The sequence below is a fragment of the Homo sapiens genome, chromosome 8 (genome assembly GCF_000001405.40).
Source record: "Homo sapiens chromosome 8, GRCh38.p14 Primary Assembly".
Classification (NCBI taxonomy): Eukaryota; Metazoa; Chordata; class Mammalia; order Primates; family Hominidae; genus Homo; species Homo sapiens.
In genome coordinates this window covers 132,411,462-132,430,384 of record NC_000008.11, presented here as the reverse complement: position 1 = coordinate 132,430,384, position 18,923 = coordinate 132,411,462, and the positions used below count along the sequence as shown (strand labels likewise).

Below are 18,923 nucleotides of genomic sequence, written 5' to 3'. Positions count from 1 at the left end.
ATGACAGAAATGCTTGGTTTGGTCACTTCTGAAGGGCCTGCTTGTGAGAATTGCTTGGGCCCTTTTAAAATTTCTAATGCCCCATTTTTATCTTTTCTTCACCTTAGAGATTATTATTTACTTGGTCTTGGATGGGAACGAGGCTAGTCTTTGTTAAACTAACTTCACCTGATGCTTATACAGGAAGATCTGGGTGGAAATCTAAATCTAAAGCACACACTAAACATAATTTCTGTGAAGAGACAGCTCATGAAAGAACCAAGAGGCCTCTCTGGTTGAGATGGTTTTGGAATGACAGTCAGCTGCTCAGGGAAAGGGCAACCCCTAGGCCTCTCTGCCCAGTTCTTGGCCCAGGGTGTGGGAGGGAGTAGGTGTCTGAGAATGAGAAAACACTTTTTGAATGAATGAATGAATGAATGAACTAGAGCACTTGATTCTGGAAGTGGTCTAAGGTGTGAGCAGAGGAACTCTAGGTAAGGTGATTGGAAAACTGTCATTCTATTTTTTTTTTTTTTTTTTTTTTGAGAAGGAGTTTCCCTCTTGTTGCCCAGGCTGGAGTGCAGTGGTACGATCTCAGCTCACTGCAACCTCCGCCTCCTGGGTTCAAGGGATTCTCCTGCCTCAGCCTCCCGAATAGCTGGGATTACAGCATCTGCCACCACGCCTGGCTAATTTTTTGTATTTTTAGTAGAGACAGGGTTTCACCATGTTGGGCAGGCTGGTCTCGAACTCCTGACCTCAGGTGATCCACCCACCTTGGCTTCCCAACGTGCTGGGATTACAGGCGTGAGCCACTGCACCCAGCCAGAAAACTCTCATTCTTAGGGCTCTTTCTTCTTCTATTTATTGACATGACAGCGAGGTAAAACTTTGAGATGGATCTAGAAATGCTTAAGAGAATAATGCATGTATTGGATGGATGGAATCTCAGAGTGGATGAATGCTCATCTGTTTTCAACAGCTTTCCTAATTAGCTAGATGACCGTGGCCATGGGATTATCTTTTCTGTCTTAGTTTTATCATCTGTCATATAGAGCTACTGATGCCTCCAGTTCTGCCTCGCCCAGAGATTCATTCAGTGCACATGTATGGGAGGTGCACTTGGAACCACCCATGGGCTAGCTGTTAAGCCTGCAATGATAAGGAGACAAGATGCCTGCTCACCCAGAGATGACCAGGTCATCCACTTCTTCATTAGTGGTTGACAAACTTGCATCAGGTGCCTGCAACCTGCCTGGCACTGTGCTTATGAGGATCAAAACATGAATGCTGGGGAAGGTACTTACAAATAATGTTTTGAAAAATATAAAGCATTAATTCAAAGTTTGGCATTGCTCCAAGTGCCAATGTCTTCCCCTAGTTGATGGTCTGGAATGGCTATCCCGTCCTTCGGGAACTAAGCTTGGAAGTCATTGTGTCGTTCCTGCTTACCTCCCTCAGGTGTCCCTTCTATTACTACCTTTATTATACGTGATGTTCTGTTTGGAGGTTTGTTTCCTCCCTCAGTGTTTACATACCTTTAGAGGAAGGGTGGTCTCTTTTTCATATGTCAACCTCCCCCAAACAATGGATGCTTAATATCTGCTTATGTAACTGAGTGAATATAATTTTGTGCCAACTGGAAAGGTGCTCTAAACTGCACTTAAGTAGTGCTCCTGGCGAGGCATATGCTAAATAGCTTTATAAAATGTAAATGTACGTATACAGTTTAACAGAGGTATAGCTTGCTGTATCTTATATTTTTAAAACCTAATAAAAGAAATCACAAATTTGGTAGCATTTTAAGTGTTCACCATTTGTAGTGAAGGGTAGAAAGTGCTCTCTCTCTCTCTGTATGTGTGTGTATGTGTGTGTGTGTGAATTTTCTCCTGGGTTCTGGGGGCAAGGAGAGAATACTGACTAATTTCTATGTGCTGCTTCCAGGGACCAGAGGCTGATTGCGGTTTTAAATTGTTTTTGTTAATTATGGTAATAATGTTTTTCAAATAAGTTGCCTTATGCAAAAGTGGTTGAGAGGGTGTGCTTCCAAAGAATTTTTGTCTGGCTACAGCAGGCATTTCATGTTGGAAAAGACTTCTTTAAGGCAGAAAGAATGAGAAGAATGCCTAGACAGCAGGACTCTGTCTAGAGAAAAAGAAGATCTTAAAGAGGAGGGGGTGGTAGGAGAATGGCACAAAGAGAGAGACAGAGTGTGCCAGATGGAGAAAAAGAGGAGGACAGTTTCAAAGAGGAAGATGGGTATTGAGAGAGCAGAGGTGCAGAGACCGAGAAGTCGAGAGAGACAGAGTTGCAGAGGGACAAGGCCTGAGATGGGGACATATACATAATCAGAATCAGAGACACAGAGACTGATGCACTGGGAAGACAAGGAGAGACAGCAGGCCCGGGAGCATCTGCAGGCGAAGGCATAAGACTTGGGTATGATTGCTAGATAGATCGTGGCTAGGAAGCATTGCCGATAATTGGTCCATGGGGAATTTTTAATAAAATCTTTAAAGCGATTAAAGGCCATTTTATTGAAAAGAGATCTGGGCCTCTTTATGAAGAGACACCAACCTGGGCCATTTTCTCTTCCTGTGCTCAGCTGCTGTTTCAGTTGCTCCTTGGAGAAGAGGTTGTGGCTTTACCCCCGGTCTTCCTCTTGCCTGTGGCAGAGCTGGGGAGCTCCACCTCACCAGGTAATTCTGGAGAGAGCCCACACAGAGCCCCAGCATAGGCCTTGGTTTCTTTGGTTTTGCTGCCCAGATCCCAGGCCTTGCTGGAACAAAGGCTGTTATTTTTACATCTTAAATTGCTGTTGCAGAGAGCAAATGCAGCTTACAGCAATTCCTTTGCTTCTGAGACTTTCTTTGGGGTCAGACCTGGTAGGATTTTAAGTGTTTATCAGGCAGAAAAAAAACACAATTAGCCAAAAGCATGGTCTGTATGGTTTCTTCTCTCTCCTTCCTGAGGTCAGTGACCCCATCCAGGTCCCTCACCATGATGTGACTCCTTACGTTAAAGGAGACCAGGCAAGAAAGAGGAGGGTAAGATCCCAGAAATCATCAGTTCATTTATCTCATTTTACAGACAGAGACTGAGGTGCCTAGAAGGAGACTGACTAGAACCCTAGGGCTCTGTGTGCAAGACTGGTACTCTTACTCCCATAGAGGCAGAAGGGCACCTCTGCCATCAGCCTGCTGTCTTGGCCCACACCCCTGCCCATGGCAGACATCACAAATCAATCATAGGCATCACTAATCAATCATGACCTGCTGCTGCTGGACCCTTCTCAAGACAGTGCTTAGGGGGCAGCAACAATCATTTAGATTCTGCATGTGAGATGCATTCTTTTTGCCCTTCCTGCACCAAGCACCACTCTCTTGCTGATGTGTTTGTGTTTCTTAGGTAGATAGCTTTATAGTCTTAATCTGTGCCCTACTGTCCACTAGTTAATAATAATAACACATATGATGTTAGAGTTAGAAGGGATCTAGCCTATCCCTTCTTAGGAATGTAAGTGTTGTTTATGCATGAAAGTGAGGAAGTGGGAGGGAATGTATCAACCATCCACTCTCAAGGGTTATTTATCTCCTTGCTTTAATGTTTATTTTGGGGGACCAGGGAGTACCTGTAGTGAGACCATAGGAATTTGTGTTTTGGTTCTTGGCAAGGAAGTTTTTATTCTTCCTTGGAGAAATTGATAAAACCATTGGTCAGAGAATGGCAAAGTTCATACAGCACACCAGCTGGTGCTTTAATCATTCCATTGGTGAGGGAAGGATTTCACCCTACAGTTATGGGATATGGGATTGGCTGCACCTATGACACCTGACACTGGACGGGGGAGATCGATAGTTTATTCTTCACATATACTCACAGCCCCAGGGGGAGGACACTGCGTGCCATGCTGGTCCCCATGAGGATTGCATGTGGGATCACAGAGAGCAAACCAGGCTGTGAGAGGCAGGCTTACTGGCGGGGGTGCCCCCTGGTTCCCACAAGAGGATCTGATTGGCTTATTTTAACAACTCTGTTGGAGGAGGAACTGAAACACGCTATTTAGGGATAAGCAGGAACCATGGCCGGTGTCATGATGGGTAGGGTTGTTTGCCTGAGGGCCTTATCCATGGGAGCGGAGGAGGGAGGGGAACTTTCAGTTAGGCCATCTGAGGCCCTGCCAGTTTCACCAGATGTCAAGGCAGCCCGCCATATTGATCCTTAACTTTAGGCCTTACACCACAACTGGGATAGGGAGAGCTGAAATTTGAACCCAGGGCTGTTGGACTCCAAAGCCTGTGATCTTTCCCACCCGCCATGCAGGCTCCTGCCAAAAGCTTGTGGAATCAAATGTGAGCAAGTGGTTCTTCTCTGTGTGTGTCTGCATTTGTATTTCTTTGCACCTGGGCATTGTTTTAACAATAGAATTCATTTTCTTCAAAATTTCCCTTTGTACTGTCATGTTGTAGTGGTTGGGAGAACCAAAATATTCTAAATTAATTCAGGCTTTGTCTTAGAATCAGAGAATGAGGTAACCAGTCAGTGGGACTGAATACAGCCAAGACTGGAAAACACAGATTCATTGAGCTGACAGGAGTTGTGCCCCACTTAAATAATTAGAACATGACCATGAATACAAATGAGTAGAGTAGATACCTTGGCAGATTCATATTCATGCTGCCGGAGGATCTTAAGCCTTACAGCAGGAGTCCCCCAGGAGTTCCTTGAAACAACAAACTTCCTGCGTGCATGTAAAATAACACTCCAAGTATATAACTACTGTTTACACCCTAAGAAGGTTTTGGGGTCGTGGCTGTTATGAAAGGAGATATAACATTGATTTAAAAAAACCAGATGGTGACACTGAATAAAGAGAGGAGTAATGATGATATCAGTTCGTACTGTGTGTGTCTGTGTGTGCCACTGTGCTAGGCATTTCCCATACATTTTCTTCTTTATCTCACAAGATCCTCTCAATGCAGATCGTATTATTACTCATTTAAGGTGAGGAAATTGAGGCTTAGAGAATTTACTTGTCTCAAGGCACCCAGCTAGTAATTGATGGAGTTTACTTGCTACTTACATTACAGAGTGTCTGTAAGGATGAAAGGCAATGTGTATAATGATTTAGCAGCTTGCCTGTTACCCACTACGCCTTCTATAAATAGCAGCTCTTCTCTTTATTCTGGCATTCTGTATCCCAGTGACTCTCCTGAGACTATATGTATTGGCGTCCAGTTGGGGGCAGGTCATTGCTGCAGATCCACGAGCTCCACTGTGTGGGCTGATGTAACTTTGATCTGAGGGTCTTTACCCACCATGGTCCTCACAAATTCCTGATTTCCAAAGGCACTGGGAATCCCCAGGAAGAAACTCATTATAGTGGGTTGACTGATGACCAACCAAAACATATTGGTGTCCTAAACACTGGAACCCGTGGATATGAACTTATTTGGTAAAAGACTCCTTGTGGATATAATTAAGGATCGGAAGATAAGATCATCTTGGATGTACCTGGTGGGCTCTAAATACAGTGACAGTGTCCTTGTCCTTGGTGAGACACATGGAGAGAGGGGGATAAGATGATGTGAAGACTGGGCCAGAAATTAGAGTTATGTAGTCAGAAGCCCAGGAACACCTGATGTCACCAGAAATTGGAAGAAGCAAGAAAGGGCTCTCCTCTAGAGCCTTCGGAGGGAGTGATACCCTGATGAGTTCTTGATGGCAGACCTCTGCCTCCAGAACTGTGACACATAAGTTCCTGTGGTTTGAAGCCACCAAGTCTGTGTTAATTTGTTAAGAGAACCCCAGGAAATGAATACCACCCAAGTGTCCCTAGGACCTTCTCCTGATGAGGCAGGAAGATGACCAGCCTGAGTCCCCAGAGCCCTGGGCTCTTGCCCTGGTCTGCCACCAATGGACTGTGGGACTTGAAACAATCTATTTTGCTCTCTGGGCCTCAGTTTCCTCATCTGTCGAATGAGAGGGTTGGGGGGATGGGAGTACAAAATGGGAACACAGAGTGACCAAAGGTAGAGGTTAGAGTTTTTGGAGCTGTTGAGACTGGAATTGTCAAGTACTTGTGACATTTGGAGAGGGGTAGGGGCTGGAGGGCAGTGAGACAGAGGGAGGAAGGGCTGGGGTGGGGGGCACGTCTATTCTGTGGAATGGGCGACAGAGGCAGAACAGCTGTGTGTCTGCGCCCCTCAGAGGCAGCAGCTGATTCTGTCCCTAGTTCACTTTGCTGTGCTTGGAGAAAGCCAGCTATGTGGCGGGGGGAGGGGTGTGGGCTGCCATTCGGAACCAGTTCATTCCAGTCAGCCACAGCGATGTGACATGGTGGGGAAGAAGAGTATCAAGCTTTTCATTTGAGATCATTCAGCTGCAAGTTATGGGAGAAACATTTAAGATAGTCCTGCAGCTTTTGTTTTTTTTTAAATCCCAGAAATAATTTTTTTGACCTAGTTTTGGTTGTGCTCAGGATGTGGTTATACTTAACTAAGCTGAAGTACAATACGCTTTACTCAGTGTCCTGGAACCACCTTCAGAGCTGCTTGTGTGCTGGGGTCTCCATACTGTATGGTGGGGCCATCCGGGTGAGGCTCCACCTGAAAGCTGAGCAGGTCGCTGTGGCTCAAAGGTCAGGAGCGTGGGGCTCTGGGATGGGACTGCACTGGTTCTGCCACTTACAGCTGTGTGACCTCGGCTGAATTACTCACCTCTCTGAACTCCAGTTTACCCAACTGCACAGTGGGGATAAATGTGCCTTCCTTTGTTAGTGATTTGCTCATCGGATCTTCACAACAGCCCTGTGAGATAGAAGCTGTTAGTGACCTCATGCTACAGACGAAGACTTGGCCCCATGGGGAGGTTAAGTAACTGTTTTGTGGCCATCTCTTATGGCCATAGAGTGGCCAAACCAGGAGTCTGGCTTGAGTCTATGCTCTTAACCATTGCCCCTTCCTGCCTTTTCAGATGATGGATGTTCAGGAGTAAGTATTGCCATTTTGTGGAGGAAGCTCAATTCTGCCCACTCTGGAGGTCCAGAAGGAAGAGAGGTTGCTAGAATGTGGACCCAACTCAATGGGATTGGGTTAAAGTCCTGGAACACCAATGCCTGTTTGGTGGGCAACTTTATTGTCGTTTCTCAGAAATGGTTCCCTTTGGTCCTTACTGGCAATAGTGACCTGTCTTGGAAGCTGCTGTGTCCTCCAGATGACATACACACTGTGTTACCCTCCTCTCAACAGGTGGCAGAGGGGTGGTGGTGGGGGGTGGTAATTACATGGTAATACCCATTTTGTCAGACCACATCAAACAATTAATTCTGGCTTCTCCCTGGAGAGGGGATTGGCATTTTAGCAATGTGTGCGTCTTGGGAAGGGGCTCCCAGTCTAGCCATCTGAGGTCTCCTGGTTCCTCTGCCTACATCTCCAACCCCATCTCCTTCCTGCCCTCCTTCAGGACCTGCTCCTCTCTATGTGTGCTGTTCCATGGCTGTGTTTTCACTCATGCAATTTCTTGTACCTGAAATTCTCACCCCTCTCTCCCTCCACTGTCTATCCTGAGGATTTCTTCAGGCCTAAGCTTACGGATCCATCATTTCCTCTCTCAGGCAGCTGACTCTCTAGTTGCGGAGGCAGACAGACAAGTAAATGGACAAATAATTATGCATTAGGATTTGGAAATGAAGTGCTTAGTTATATGGAGAGTCGTGGGAGGAGGCGTCCCTGAGATACAGCTGCCGGAAGGGGAGCCAGTCAGGCCCAGTGCTGGGGGCGGGTGCAGCTGGTGGAAGAGAACTTATTTCTTGGAGGATCACGTGTCCTGAGATCCTGAGGTAGGAAAGCTTGCGTGTTCCAGGAACTAAAGGAAGGCCAGAGGAGCTAGAATGTGATGCACAGTTGGGAGAACAGTAGCAGGTGGGTTTGCAGAGGCACACCTGCAGGATAGAGAGTTTAGATTTAAATATAATGCAAAACATATGCTTTGAGGCTGTCCCTCTGGCGGCTCTGCTGAGTCTTAGTGGGGAACCAGGTCAGCGATCACTGGAGTGATGCAGTGAGTGGTGGTGGTGGCTGGACTTGAGTTCTAGGCATGGAAGTGAAGGGAAGACAGAGGTTTCTGGATTTATTCTGGAAGTCAATGTGCAGATAAAGAGAAGGGAAGAGTCAGGGATGGCTCGTGGGTCTCTGATTGGAGCAACTGCATTAGATGGTGGTGTCATTTCCTGAGAAGGGCGATCCTGGAATGAGCCAGTTTGGAGGTGAAATCCAAGCCAGTTTGGAGGTGAAATCTGGTGTTGGCAGGCAGTCATTGTTGGTGTGAGCTGGTGGAGGCACTGACCAGGCATCTGGGTAGAAAGGCTGTAGCTCTGAGTGGAGGGTATAACCTTTCTCTCTTTCTAACACTGATGGTGCAGCCCCAGCACTAGAGGCCTCATGATCCCACCAGAAGAGGAAGGGAGACGGAAAGCCTGTAACATTGGAACTAGTATGAGGATTTGAACCTGGCCCATCCTGGCTCCCTTTGGAAAATGAAGTCTGTATTTGCCCATCTTCAGGATCCAGATGTCTCTCCCATTATCTGTTTTAAAAGATAAATTTCCTGTGTGATTCTGCAGCCAGATCCAGGTGGAGGGTTCATCTAGGCCAGTGTCTCGCATCCTGGTAGGATCTTTCATATGTTCCAACTTGTTCCTGCTTACGGAGGTTTGTTCCTCATTTTCCTTTGGAACACATTGTTTTTGCTGAAGACAGAACCACCAGTTGAGGTTAAAAAAGAAAAAAAAGACCACTTTCACCTGTCATCTGTTACCACCCACCATCTGCCCCAAGTGAATCCCCCATTTTGTTCCCCCGACCCACACACCCTAGGTCAGGCAGCATCATTTTGGTCATAACCTGTCTTTCCTCTGCTCCTCTGCGCTCTTCCTGTAGATTTGAAGAACTTTTAAAAATGTTTCCTGCCAGCACCTCGTGTCACCTGTTCCTTTTGTCAGCTGGTAGTTATGAGGGAGCCTTTCCCATTTCCCAGCGTTGGCTTCTTGAGACTTCTTATCGAACAATTTGTGATGAACTGTTGGAATTTCATTTTCCTAGACGTTTTCTTGGGCCCAGACTGCTACCATTTTCCTGAGAGCTTCTATGTGCCCCTCACATGCATGAATATATTTAGTCATCAAATATCTTAAAATATATTATTCATATGTAGAGATAATTGGAACACAAGACTGTGTATTACATCTGCACATACACTTATCTAACCAGAAAATTTAGAAAACACAGCAAAGCCCTCCTAATGTTTGCAGGTTGACTGTATGAGCCGTTTAAACATTCACCTCTGCCCCACATCCCCTGCTCAAACTCCTCCTGGTATATGCCAGTCATGCCTTCCTGTTTACCTTTCAAATCATGTTTACTTTGGGGATTAAAATTTAAATGTATTTCATGTCAACCCAAGCAACTTTTTTGTTTTTTGTTTTTTTTGCATCTCTACATCTCTACTATGTGCTGGTCTGGGAGCTGGAGTGACCGAGGTCGAGGAGAGAAACCCAGGGGCCCTCTGTGCAGTGCTTCCCAGCATCTAGAGCCCCAGTTAGAGACTCTCCTCACAGACTCCAGAAATGCAAAACACATGGAAAGCACAGAAACATGTTGCTTTTGCAACATCATTTATCAACACACCTCAAGAACACTGGGGTTTGGTACAAATTAGTTATTCACTGAAGCATAAAGCAGTTAAATAAACACTTATGCTTTCCCAGAGGATTCTTCCCTCCGTGAGTCTGTTCTGACCACAGTGACCTCCCTTATGTGCTGCCTGGGATCTGGTTCATCTCTATCTTTTGAAAAAAGAACACAGCCCACACACTTCCGGGTGTCAGCCGAGGAGACATCAAGTCCTGGTGCTGGATGTTTCTGGCTCAAGGGAAAAGGGCAAGCTGCAGATGTCGCCAGGCTGGTCTTCTGGCTGTGGCAGCCCAGAAGGTGGATGGACCCTCATCATCTGTGTCCATGACACTGCAGTGATGTTTTCTAAGGCACATCGGGACTTACCCACCCAAATATTCCTTCCCTTGGGTGGGCAACCTGTTATGGACTGAATGCATCCCTCCAAAATTCATATGTTGAAGTCCTAACTCCAAGTGTGATAGTATTAGGAGGTGGGGCTTTGGGGAGGTGATTAGGTCATGGGGGAGAATCTTCAAGAATGGGATTAGTGCTCTCTTGTACAAGAGACCCCAGAGCCCTCTCCCATCTCCCATGTTCTGCCCACCATATGAGACCACAAGGAGAAGGTGTCAGTCTGCACCCCAGAAGAGGGCCCTGACCAGAACCCAGCAATGCTGGCACCCTGATCTTGGACTTCCAGTATCCAGAACTGTGAGAAATAAATTTCTGTTGTTTATAAGCTACTCACTCTCTGGTACTTTGTTATAACAGCCCAAACTGACTGAGACAGTACCCATGTATTCCAACGTGGGAGTGCTGTTCGTTTTATCCTTTAAGAGATGACATGTTGACATGTTTGGAAGAATGCAGGTTTTCCGGTAAGACAGTACTGGGCTCAATTACAGGACTTATCAGTTGTTGTTACTGATGCTGAATATCTGTGTTGCCTTGGAAAGTCACTTCGGGATTTTTGAGCCTCAGTTTTCTCATCTCTAAAATGGGCTAATAATATTGACCATCAAAGATTTGTTTTGAGGTACAACACCTAGAATAGCACCTGTATCTACTGGCTACATAGAAAACAGTTCTCATTTTTCTGATCTACAGAGAGCACTCTCTGAGGGCACAGGCAGCTTCAGTGGTGGAGATGGGTGTGGCTGTCCATTGTCTTTTCTCTGGCCCCCATGATGGTTTTCTTGGAAAGCATTTTAAGGCTAAGAAAGGCTCTGTCTGGTCTCAGGAATCAGGACTCAGGCACTGGATGTTTTTTGTGTGAATTTTCCATCAGTGTATTAACAATGGTAAGACAGAGGGAGATAATGCTCTTAAAAGCAGTATTAAATGAAAAATGTTGCATTTATTATTGCATTTTACTAGGGTGGCTCTATCTTCAATGATGCCCGTGACCTGCAAATCCAGAAATCCAGACAAATGGTCTAATAGTTTTCAAAGTTTTTACAGCTGAAAATTGAGAGGATGAAAGGTGCTGTGGTTAAGCCAAGGTGAGAGAACACTGTTGTTCAGCAGGGAGCCTGGCAGTGGAAGGAATTTCTGCCTTCTTCAAAGAGTGCTGCCATGCCTTAGTTCCCGAAGTATTAGGCTTTTGGACTGGAAGGCATTGTATTGACCTTTTTAGATGGATCTCTTCTCAGTGATGTTGCCTCGCTTTTCTCATGCTTCTCCCATGTGCTGGAGATCACTTACATCTTTGTGTATCTTATGGTAGGTGCTGTAATGCCCATTTTACAGATGAGAAAACTGAGGCTTAGAAATTGACTTGCTTTACGTCACATGGCTTTTAAAGATTGAATTAGGACTTGCACAGAAGTCTGACCACAATGCTGCCTGCTGCTTTTCCTCACCTTTCTCTGTGCCCACACCCCAACACCACTTACAACTATCTACTTTTTATTTTTATGTTTTTAAATTTATTTAATTTATTTTTTGAGACATAGTCTCATTCTGTTGCCCAAACTGGAGTCCGGTGGCATGGTCTCGGCTCACTGCACCCTCTGCTTCTCCAGCTCAAGTGATTCTCTGGCCTCAGCCTCCCAAGTAGCTGGGACTACAGGCACGCACCACCACACCTGGCTAATTTTTATATTTTTAGTAGAGACGATGTTTCATCATGTTGTCCAGGCAGGTCTTGAACTCCTGGTCTCAAGTGATCCACCTGCCTTGGCCTCCCAAAATGCTGGGATTACAGGTGTGAACCACTGTGCCCGGCCATCTACTTTTTAAATTTAGCAATTGAGGAGGGTGAAACCCGAGTGGGGAATAAATGACTTACCCCTAGTCACAGAGACCATTAGAGGCAGAGTCGGGTTGAGACCCAGAGCTCCTCCCTCCCTCGCCTGCTTTTTTCTGCTCTCCTGCCAGCCTTCCGTGAGCACGCCTCATTAAACCCACACAGAGCCACGGATGTTTCCTCAGCTCTGTCACAGATCCCTTCTTGCTGGCTGCCAGTTAATGCCGCTCCTCTTCAGAAAGCCTATGGTCTGAGTTTATATTTATCTTGTCCTCAGGCTTCAAAGTAATTGTTTCCTCCTTGTTTTCGTGTGGGTCACTCAGTGTGGGTAATATGTTCTTACTCAGAAAAAAACCAGCACTGCCTTCTTATTCCCAATCACAGTGCCAGCATGCTAAGTGTCGTGTCCCTGATCCAATCCCGGTGATCTCAGGAAATCTCCTCTGGAAGATGAGGGGGGTGTGGCTCGGTGGAGAAATATTCCCCTCAACTAGAGCCAGGAGTGCTTTTGCACCACGGACCTTGGGTGGATTGAAGCCATCCTCACTCTGCTGCCCTCTGGCTGGCTCATGGGTCTCCAGACCTGCATCCTCTCAACTCCAAGGCCAACAGAAAGAGAACGTTTTTTTCCTGTTGTTGTCCACAGAGGTTCCAGAACTAGGTTCTGAATGACTGGCTTGGCATATATTCCGGGAGCACTCCCATTGCTTGGACTCCATTAGGAAGGAAGTCTGTTTTGTTCACGGACATATCCTTCTTATTCAGTGCCATGCCTGGAATGAATGAATGAATGAATGAATGAATGGATGGATGGATGGGTTTGCCCAGGTCTGAGTCAGATGACCGTCTTGCTGCTAAGTGGTCAAGTCCCCAGCACATAGAGTGTGTATGTCACCAGAACAGAGACTATATGCAGATTAGGTTTCCAAAAAAAAGTAGATGTCTCCCATGGCTGTCCATGTGCTGGGTGTTTTCTGTTTGCCTCTCCAAATCTATTCTCCACCCATGGGAGACTCAACTTGTAAATTTCACCAGTGGCCTCCTTGCCTCTGAGTTCTGATTGGATGCAGACAATAGGAGGAACCAGCAGGAGATGGGTGGGTCAGAGTCAGGAGGAGAGGACTTGGTCCCCTCCCTGTTGGGCTGTTGTGGGCCACAGCTCCTCCAAGAGCCATCAGTTTTCCTGGTTTCTGACAACTGGTCTCTCCCCTGGCCTCCTTAGTTGGAGAGATGGTAACAGTTCTCTGTTATTGCCAATCCCAGGGGCTTCACCCTCCCTTGTTGATTTCCCTAAACCTTTCCTCACCTTTGTAAATAGTCTCTATACGGGATGTTGCCCACTTTCAATGTTTGCATGAGTGTATGGGATCAGACTCGTACAGCCTGTCAGGTTAAACGAGGATTAGATTTGTTCTGCTCAGTTTCTTTGGGCAGAAGGAGGACCCAATAATGGTGGTGGCTACTTGGACATAAGTTTCTCCCTAGAGAACTGTTAGCTCCTCCACCCTTCAGGCTCCCTCAGACGTGTCCCCTTGCACATGTTAGCCCTTCTGTTTAGATTGTTTATCTGTCTGCTCCAACAGGGAACACCTGCCCTGCCTTTCAGTTTCAGTTCAGAGGGACACCCTTCACAAAGCCTACTGCACTTACCCAGCCTTCCTGTCTGTACCCTGCAGCCTTCCGAGCTCACCTTTTCTCAGCGTGGACCCAGCCCTGGGCACCACCTTCCTCTAGACTGGAAACCCCTTGAGGGCAGGTTTTGTATCTAATTCCTCTCTGTGGCTTCAGTGCCCCATGCCTAGTACCTACTGGATGTATACACCTCTTGAGTAAATGTATGAATTTTTTTTGTTTGTTTGTTTGAGATGGAGTCTCACTCTGTCACGCAGGCTGGAGTGCAGTTGTACGATCTCAGCTCACACTGCAGCCTCTGCCTCCCAGGTTCAAATGATTCTCCTGCCTCAGCCTCCTGAGTAGCTGGGATTATGGGTGCCCGCCATCATGTCTGGCTAATTTTTAGTAGAGATGAGGTTTCACCATGTTGGCCAAGCTGGTCTCAAACTCCTGACCTCAGGTGATCCACCCGCCTCAGCCTCCCAAAGTGCTAGGATTACAGGTATGAGCCACTGTGCCCGACTGAATTTATGAATTATTAAGCTCTGTTAAGTTTGGAATTCCAAAGAGAAGATAAGTTTTTGAATTCCAAAGAGGAAGTCCAGTTTGGGATTTTGAGAGATGGTGTTTAGAGAAATACCGTCTTAGCAATGAATATTTATAGAACTTAATTTCATTTTTAGAAAAGGAAAATTATTTTTTGCTTACAAACATCAAAATAAAAACAACAACAACAAACGTGAGTGCCTCAAGACAAACATCTCATTCCCACACATGGAAGGTGTCTTCTGGTAGAACCTCTAGCACCAGGTCTGAGTCCTATTTCAGTGCCACCACTGTGGCCTGGGGTGAGTCATATGACCTCCCTGAACCTCTGGTTATTCTTTGGAGAAATGAAGGCATAGCTGGGAGGTGCCTACCAGATGGGCTCTCATGCACATGAGTAGTATGGACCAGTGTTTCTCAATATTTTGTTCATGATTATTGCCATGGTGAGTGTTTTTAGATCTTTTCTTCCTAATCCCATGAAATTTTCATGCCAGAGATATGCTGCATATGTACTGTGGCCTGTTGAAGGGCCGAAAATCATGGCAATAGCTAAGATAGCTTTTGCTCCCTAAGTAGCTTTTTTTTTTGTCCCGTTGAGAATGCACAGTTACGATGATTTATCTCTCTCTGATGGCCATCAAAAGAACTGTCCATACCATGTACAGCACCAGAGCCTGGGGCTGCTCTTGAGACATTCGTAGTCAGAGAACAGACAGAAATGGAATCCCATCTGAGCCTGTGGTCTGCAGAGCAGCCTGGGTCCCTGAGCACTGTCACTGCAGAGACATGAGTCACAAGGCTGAATGTCACTGCTGTTTGGTTCTGCAGCCGGGGGCTGGGCCCTGGAAATCCAGAGGTGGGTGACTTGGCTCCTGCAGTCAGAGAGCTCCCAGACTCATGGGGTGGTGATGGTGGTGACATTCTAAGCACCATGTTAGAGGAAATGCCAGGGCAAGAGACACCTCACTGTCCAGCCTGGTGGTGACACTCCTCTGGTGTCATTGCACTGGAGCTGACTGGAGTAGAGGTTCCTGAATCCTTATGCCTGCTACACTCAGGCTGACAAAGACATCAGGCTGAGGAGCAGACCTGGGAGGAAACGCAGGCTGCAGGAGTAGAAATGAAAGACAAGAGAGAAGTACCCTGGAGTGGAGGTTGAGGCAGTAGATGGTTCAGAGGGAGGCTGAGAGTCAGCCCAGGAGGCTGCCAGCCATAGTTTTCCACACCTGTGCTAGCTTTGATGGCCTTTAATTGCCCTTGCTTTGGTGAGCTGATGCAATCAGGCCAGAGAACACCTGAGTGACACGATAACTGCCAAGTGTCTCTAACACAGCTGACAGCAGCCCCTCTCCGGGAGGTGGTCTGGGGCTCGGAGCCCTAACTCAGCCCACTTTCCATCCCTACTTCTGCCGGACACACTGTTCCTCGTTCATTATTTATCACTCCTCTGATTTCTTATTTACATATTTCGGTTTTGCTGTCATGTATTTGATCTTGTAGGTGGCTCCAAATTCCTTGTGAAATGAGGTGGGTCATGCGTTTCTATCACGCACAGTGTTTGTTTGCTCCCTCTGTCTATTATTTTGCTATTCTTCCGCTTTTGTTTCTCCTAAAAGGATCATGCCACCTGTCTCTCCACCTTTCCCACCGTCAGTCCATGGGGTTGAAGATGGATAATTGTATCAAGTGTTAAGCTCCTAAGGGGTCCCCTCATTCCCCTTCCTCCCCAGCTCCCAGCAACTGTTCTAGTATCTGTTGTATAGCCATTGCTGACTGCACATCCATCCTCCAAAATCATGGATTCAGCCATATCAGATGTGACAGGGCTTCTCTGGTAGAATAGCTGCTGGAAATAGCAGCTGCATTTGACATGCCTTGGGCTGGCGAGGGCTCCGAGCAAGTCATCCTGCCTGATCCACGTGCTGCTCTGAATGTTAAATCTAGTGGGGTTGAGGGGAGGCCAGGCATCTCTCAGCTCTGCTAGAGGGGATCCCTCCCTGGGCTTCCCTGGGCTTCCCTGCTCCCTCCTGACTCTCTGCCCTTCTGCAGGGGCAAGCACATCTTCTGGAGATCAGAGGAACCTGTGGGACCAGGGGCTGGTGACCTTCCCCCTCTGTGATGCTGAAAATGGGGATGATGAAACCTCGAGGGGCTATTGTGAAAATGAAATTAAATAATATAGGTTAAGCTCCCAACAGCGTGTATTGTAGGAAGTCAATACATGGTAGATGTGCTCACTATTATTAACTATTATTTTGTGTCCTGGGGCCTGAGCCCTGCAATTGAGAGGGGTGCTTCTCCAGGCTGCACCCGCTCTGGAAACCTGGGGCGGGCGTCTCCTCAGGATGAATAATTCATCACCAGTCTCCTTTGCTCCCAAAGCAGCTCCTGGCAAACACTGCAGATGAATTCATTTGTCATGGGTGGGCGTGCGGGTGAGAACAGATGGGATTCCCCAGTCACGTGCTCCTGCAGACAGCGTGACACAGACATGCTGAGGAAGCCCTGCTTCTTGGAGAAGACAGGCAGGAACCTCAGCTTCTGAAAATGGATGCGGTGAATCTGCTGCCTGTGCCATATGTGACAAAAGCTTTGCTCTGTTCTGGAAGAAAGGGGGTATTTTCCATCTTGCGGTGTCCTTGACAACGTCTGACAACGTTTTTTAACCATTGCAGCACACAAGTCTCCTGGGAATTATAGGATCCATTTATTTATTCATTTCACAATCATTTCATTCCTCTCGGATTCTGGCCTGTATAGGCATGGGGAATGGAGATAAATGGAGATCTGTATAGAATGGTATGGAAACTCAAAGTGGTGTGTGTGCTACATAGAGTAGGTATTTAATAACCTTCTGCTGAATTAATAATTAACTGCTGACTGAAAGGCGACTTAACCCAGCCTGAGGCAGTCAGGGAAGGCTTCCTGGAGGAGGTGATGCTTAAACTGAAGTCTGAAGGGTGACTTGAAATAACGTAGGTGAAGAAGGATTTTGAGAAACACAAAGAAACAGTGTTTTCAGAAAGCTGCAAATAGATGAAGGATGTATAGGTAGGAGCTGGGTTGTGGAAGTCCTGACATAGCTGGAGGTTTGCACATGATCCAGTGGGAGCCACTGAAGGTGTTGGGTAGAAGGGGAACTTAAGATCATTTGTAGCGTGGCGAGAACACTTTGGTTGCATGATATAGATTGGGTTGAAGAAAGGAAACTTGGAAATGGGAGATAAGTTTGTGCATTCATTCATTCACTCATTTTTTCACTAATTCATCCATTCGTCCTTTGACTTATGCAAGAAATACTTCTTGAGAGCCTAGTGTGTACTCCACTGTGAGGTGTCAGTGGAGAGAGGAGGTCACAAAGCTGATGTGTTGGGAGGTGGTGGATGGGACATCGAGGCTGCCTCCCCGGTCACTTGCTTTATCACTTTGCTTTAAGTGATCCGGGTCAACAGAACTAAGTGCTAGGTTTGTTTGGGACCACAGCAAGATCCTGTTTTGCAGTTGGGGTCCATTCATAGACATTGTATGTGGCCCCAGAAGTGCTGCTGGACAGTGATGGACTGTCCTCTTCCTGCTGTCCCAGGGCAGGGGAGGTGGCCATGCTATCCTGCCTTCATTGCCAGAATCCCCACAGGGCCATCATCATGCCTCTCTCCTGTCTCTGGGAGTTTGCCGGGTTTCTTCCCTGTGACACTACCATTGCTTAGGCTGAGGGCTCATATGTGGGATGCACAAATATGCACACTTCTTTTACCTTCAGACAGCTCAGGTGGCCAGTGGCATTTGCAAAAGAATTTCTGTTTCCTGTTTAAAACATTTCACCCAGAGCCCTGAGGTCCTGGCTGAATCCTGGTTGGAGGTGTCGCAATATTCCTTTGGGGTAGAACAGTACACTCTGCTTCCTCACCTAAGAGCCATCCTGAACATCTTTTCCTCAAAATGTGTGCTTTATGGATCACCTGAGTCAGAATCACCCAGAAGGGGAGATGCAAAGCAGGTTCCTAAGCCCCATAGAGACTTATGAATTAGAATTTATTGGGGCCGGCGGGTGGGGGGAGCTACAAAGTTTGCATTTTTAATCACTGCCCTTGGTGATTCTCAAGCTCTTTCATGTTGGAGAAGCACCATTTTAAAGCACAAATCAAATTGTTTTTCTGGAATCGGCAAGGGACTATTGGCTGAGCCCTGCTGCATGCCCTGTGGGGTGCCAAGCGCCAGGCAGTGGGCTTGCTTCATTCTCAGTCCTCTCTGGGGTGCCATGGGGTGAACCTTCTGCATAGCACCATAAGTAAGGGATAGAGCTAAGGTTCAAATCCTAGTTGCCTAACCCCAGAAAAGGCCAGCTGGCACTGAATTGGTGCTCAAAAGAGTGGTGGAAGCCATTCATTGAACAGGAAGGATGCCTGGGGCACCAGCAGCAGCTCCATATCATCTCCATGTTGCCCATTTCAACCCACGCTTGGGAGCTGGGCTCCATCCCTCCATGGTCAAAGAAACCTCGGCAGCCCACAGCTTGTCCTTGTGCTTAGAGAATGAAAAGTCCCTCAGTTGTTTGAGTCCAGGAATGATCTCATTGTAGGCAGCAACAGTCCCAGACCAGCTTCTAGTTCCTTTGGGTGGGAGCATGGAAAAGGAGGGAGGTGGAGACAGGAGGAGGCCTTGTGTGTGTTGTGTGTGTGTGTCCCTGATATGCCAGTTTGTTTTTCTCTAGCCCTAGCAGATATTCAGAGCTGCTGATTCCTCTCATGGGTCTTTCCTGGGTTCCTGGTAGCCTCCCTCACCAACACCTGTCCTGCTTCTGTGTTTCTACCCCTGCAGTGCCTCTCCAGAGCTGCTTCTTAAGCTGCCACACCCAGGGC

The 18,923-nt window shown here is 46.9% G+C and overlaps 1 protein-coding gene across 4 annotated transcripts in view, besides 1 other annotated feature; it reads left to right on the top strand.

The window, feature by feature from the left end:
- Positions 1-18,923, top strand: part of KCNQ3 (potassium voltage-gated channel subfamily Q member 3) — a 360,235-nt gene that overhangs the window by 50,711 nt on the left and 290,601 nt on the right. The window lies entirely within an intron of this gene.
- Positions 14,743-17,486: an enhancer, noted in NCBI's record as "VISTA enhancer hs2563". NCBI's record gives its function as "enhancer in: neural tube[4/5] | hindbrain (rhombencephalon)[4/5] | midbrain (mesencephalon)[4/5]" and the evidence as "EXISTENCE:transgenic organism evidence [ECO:0001131][PMID:17130149]".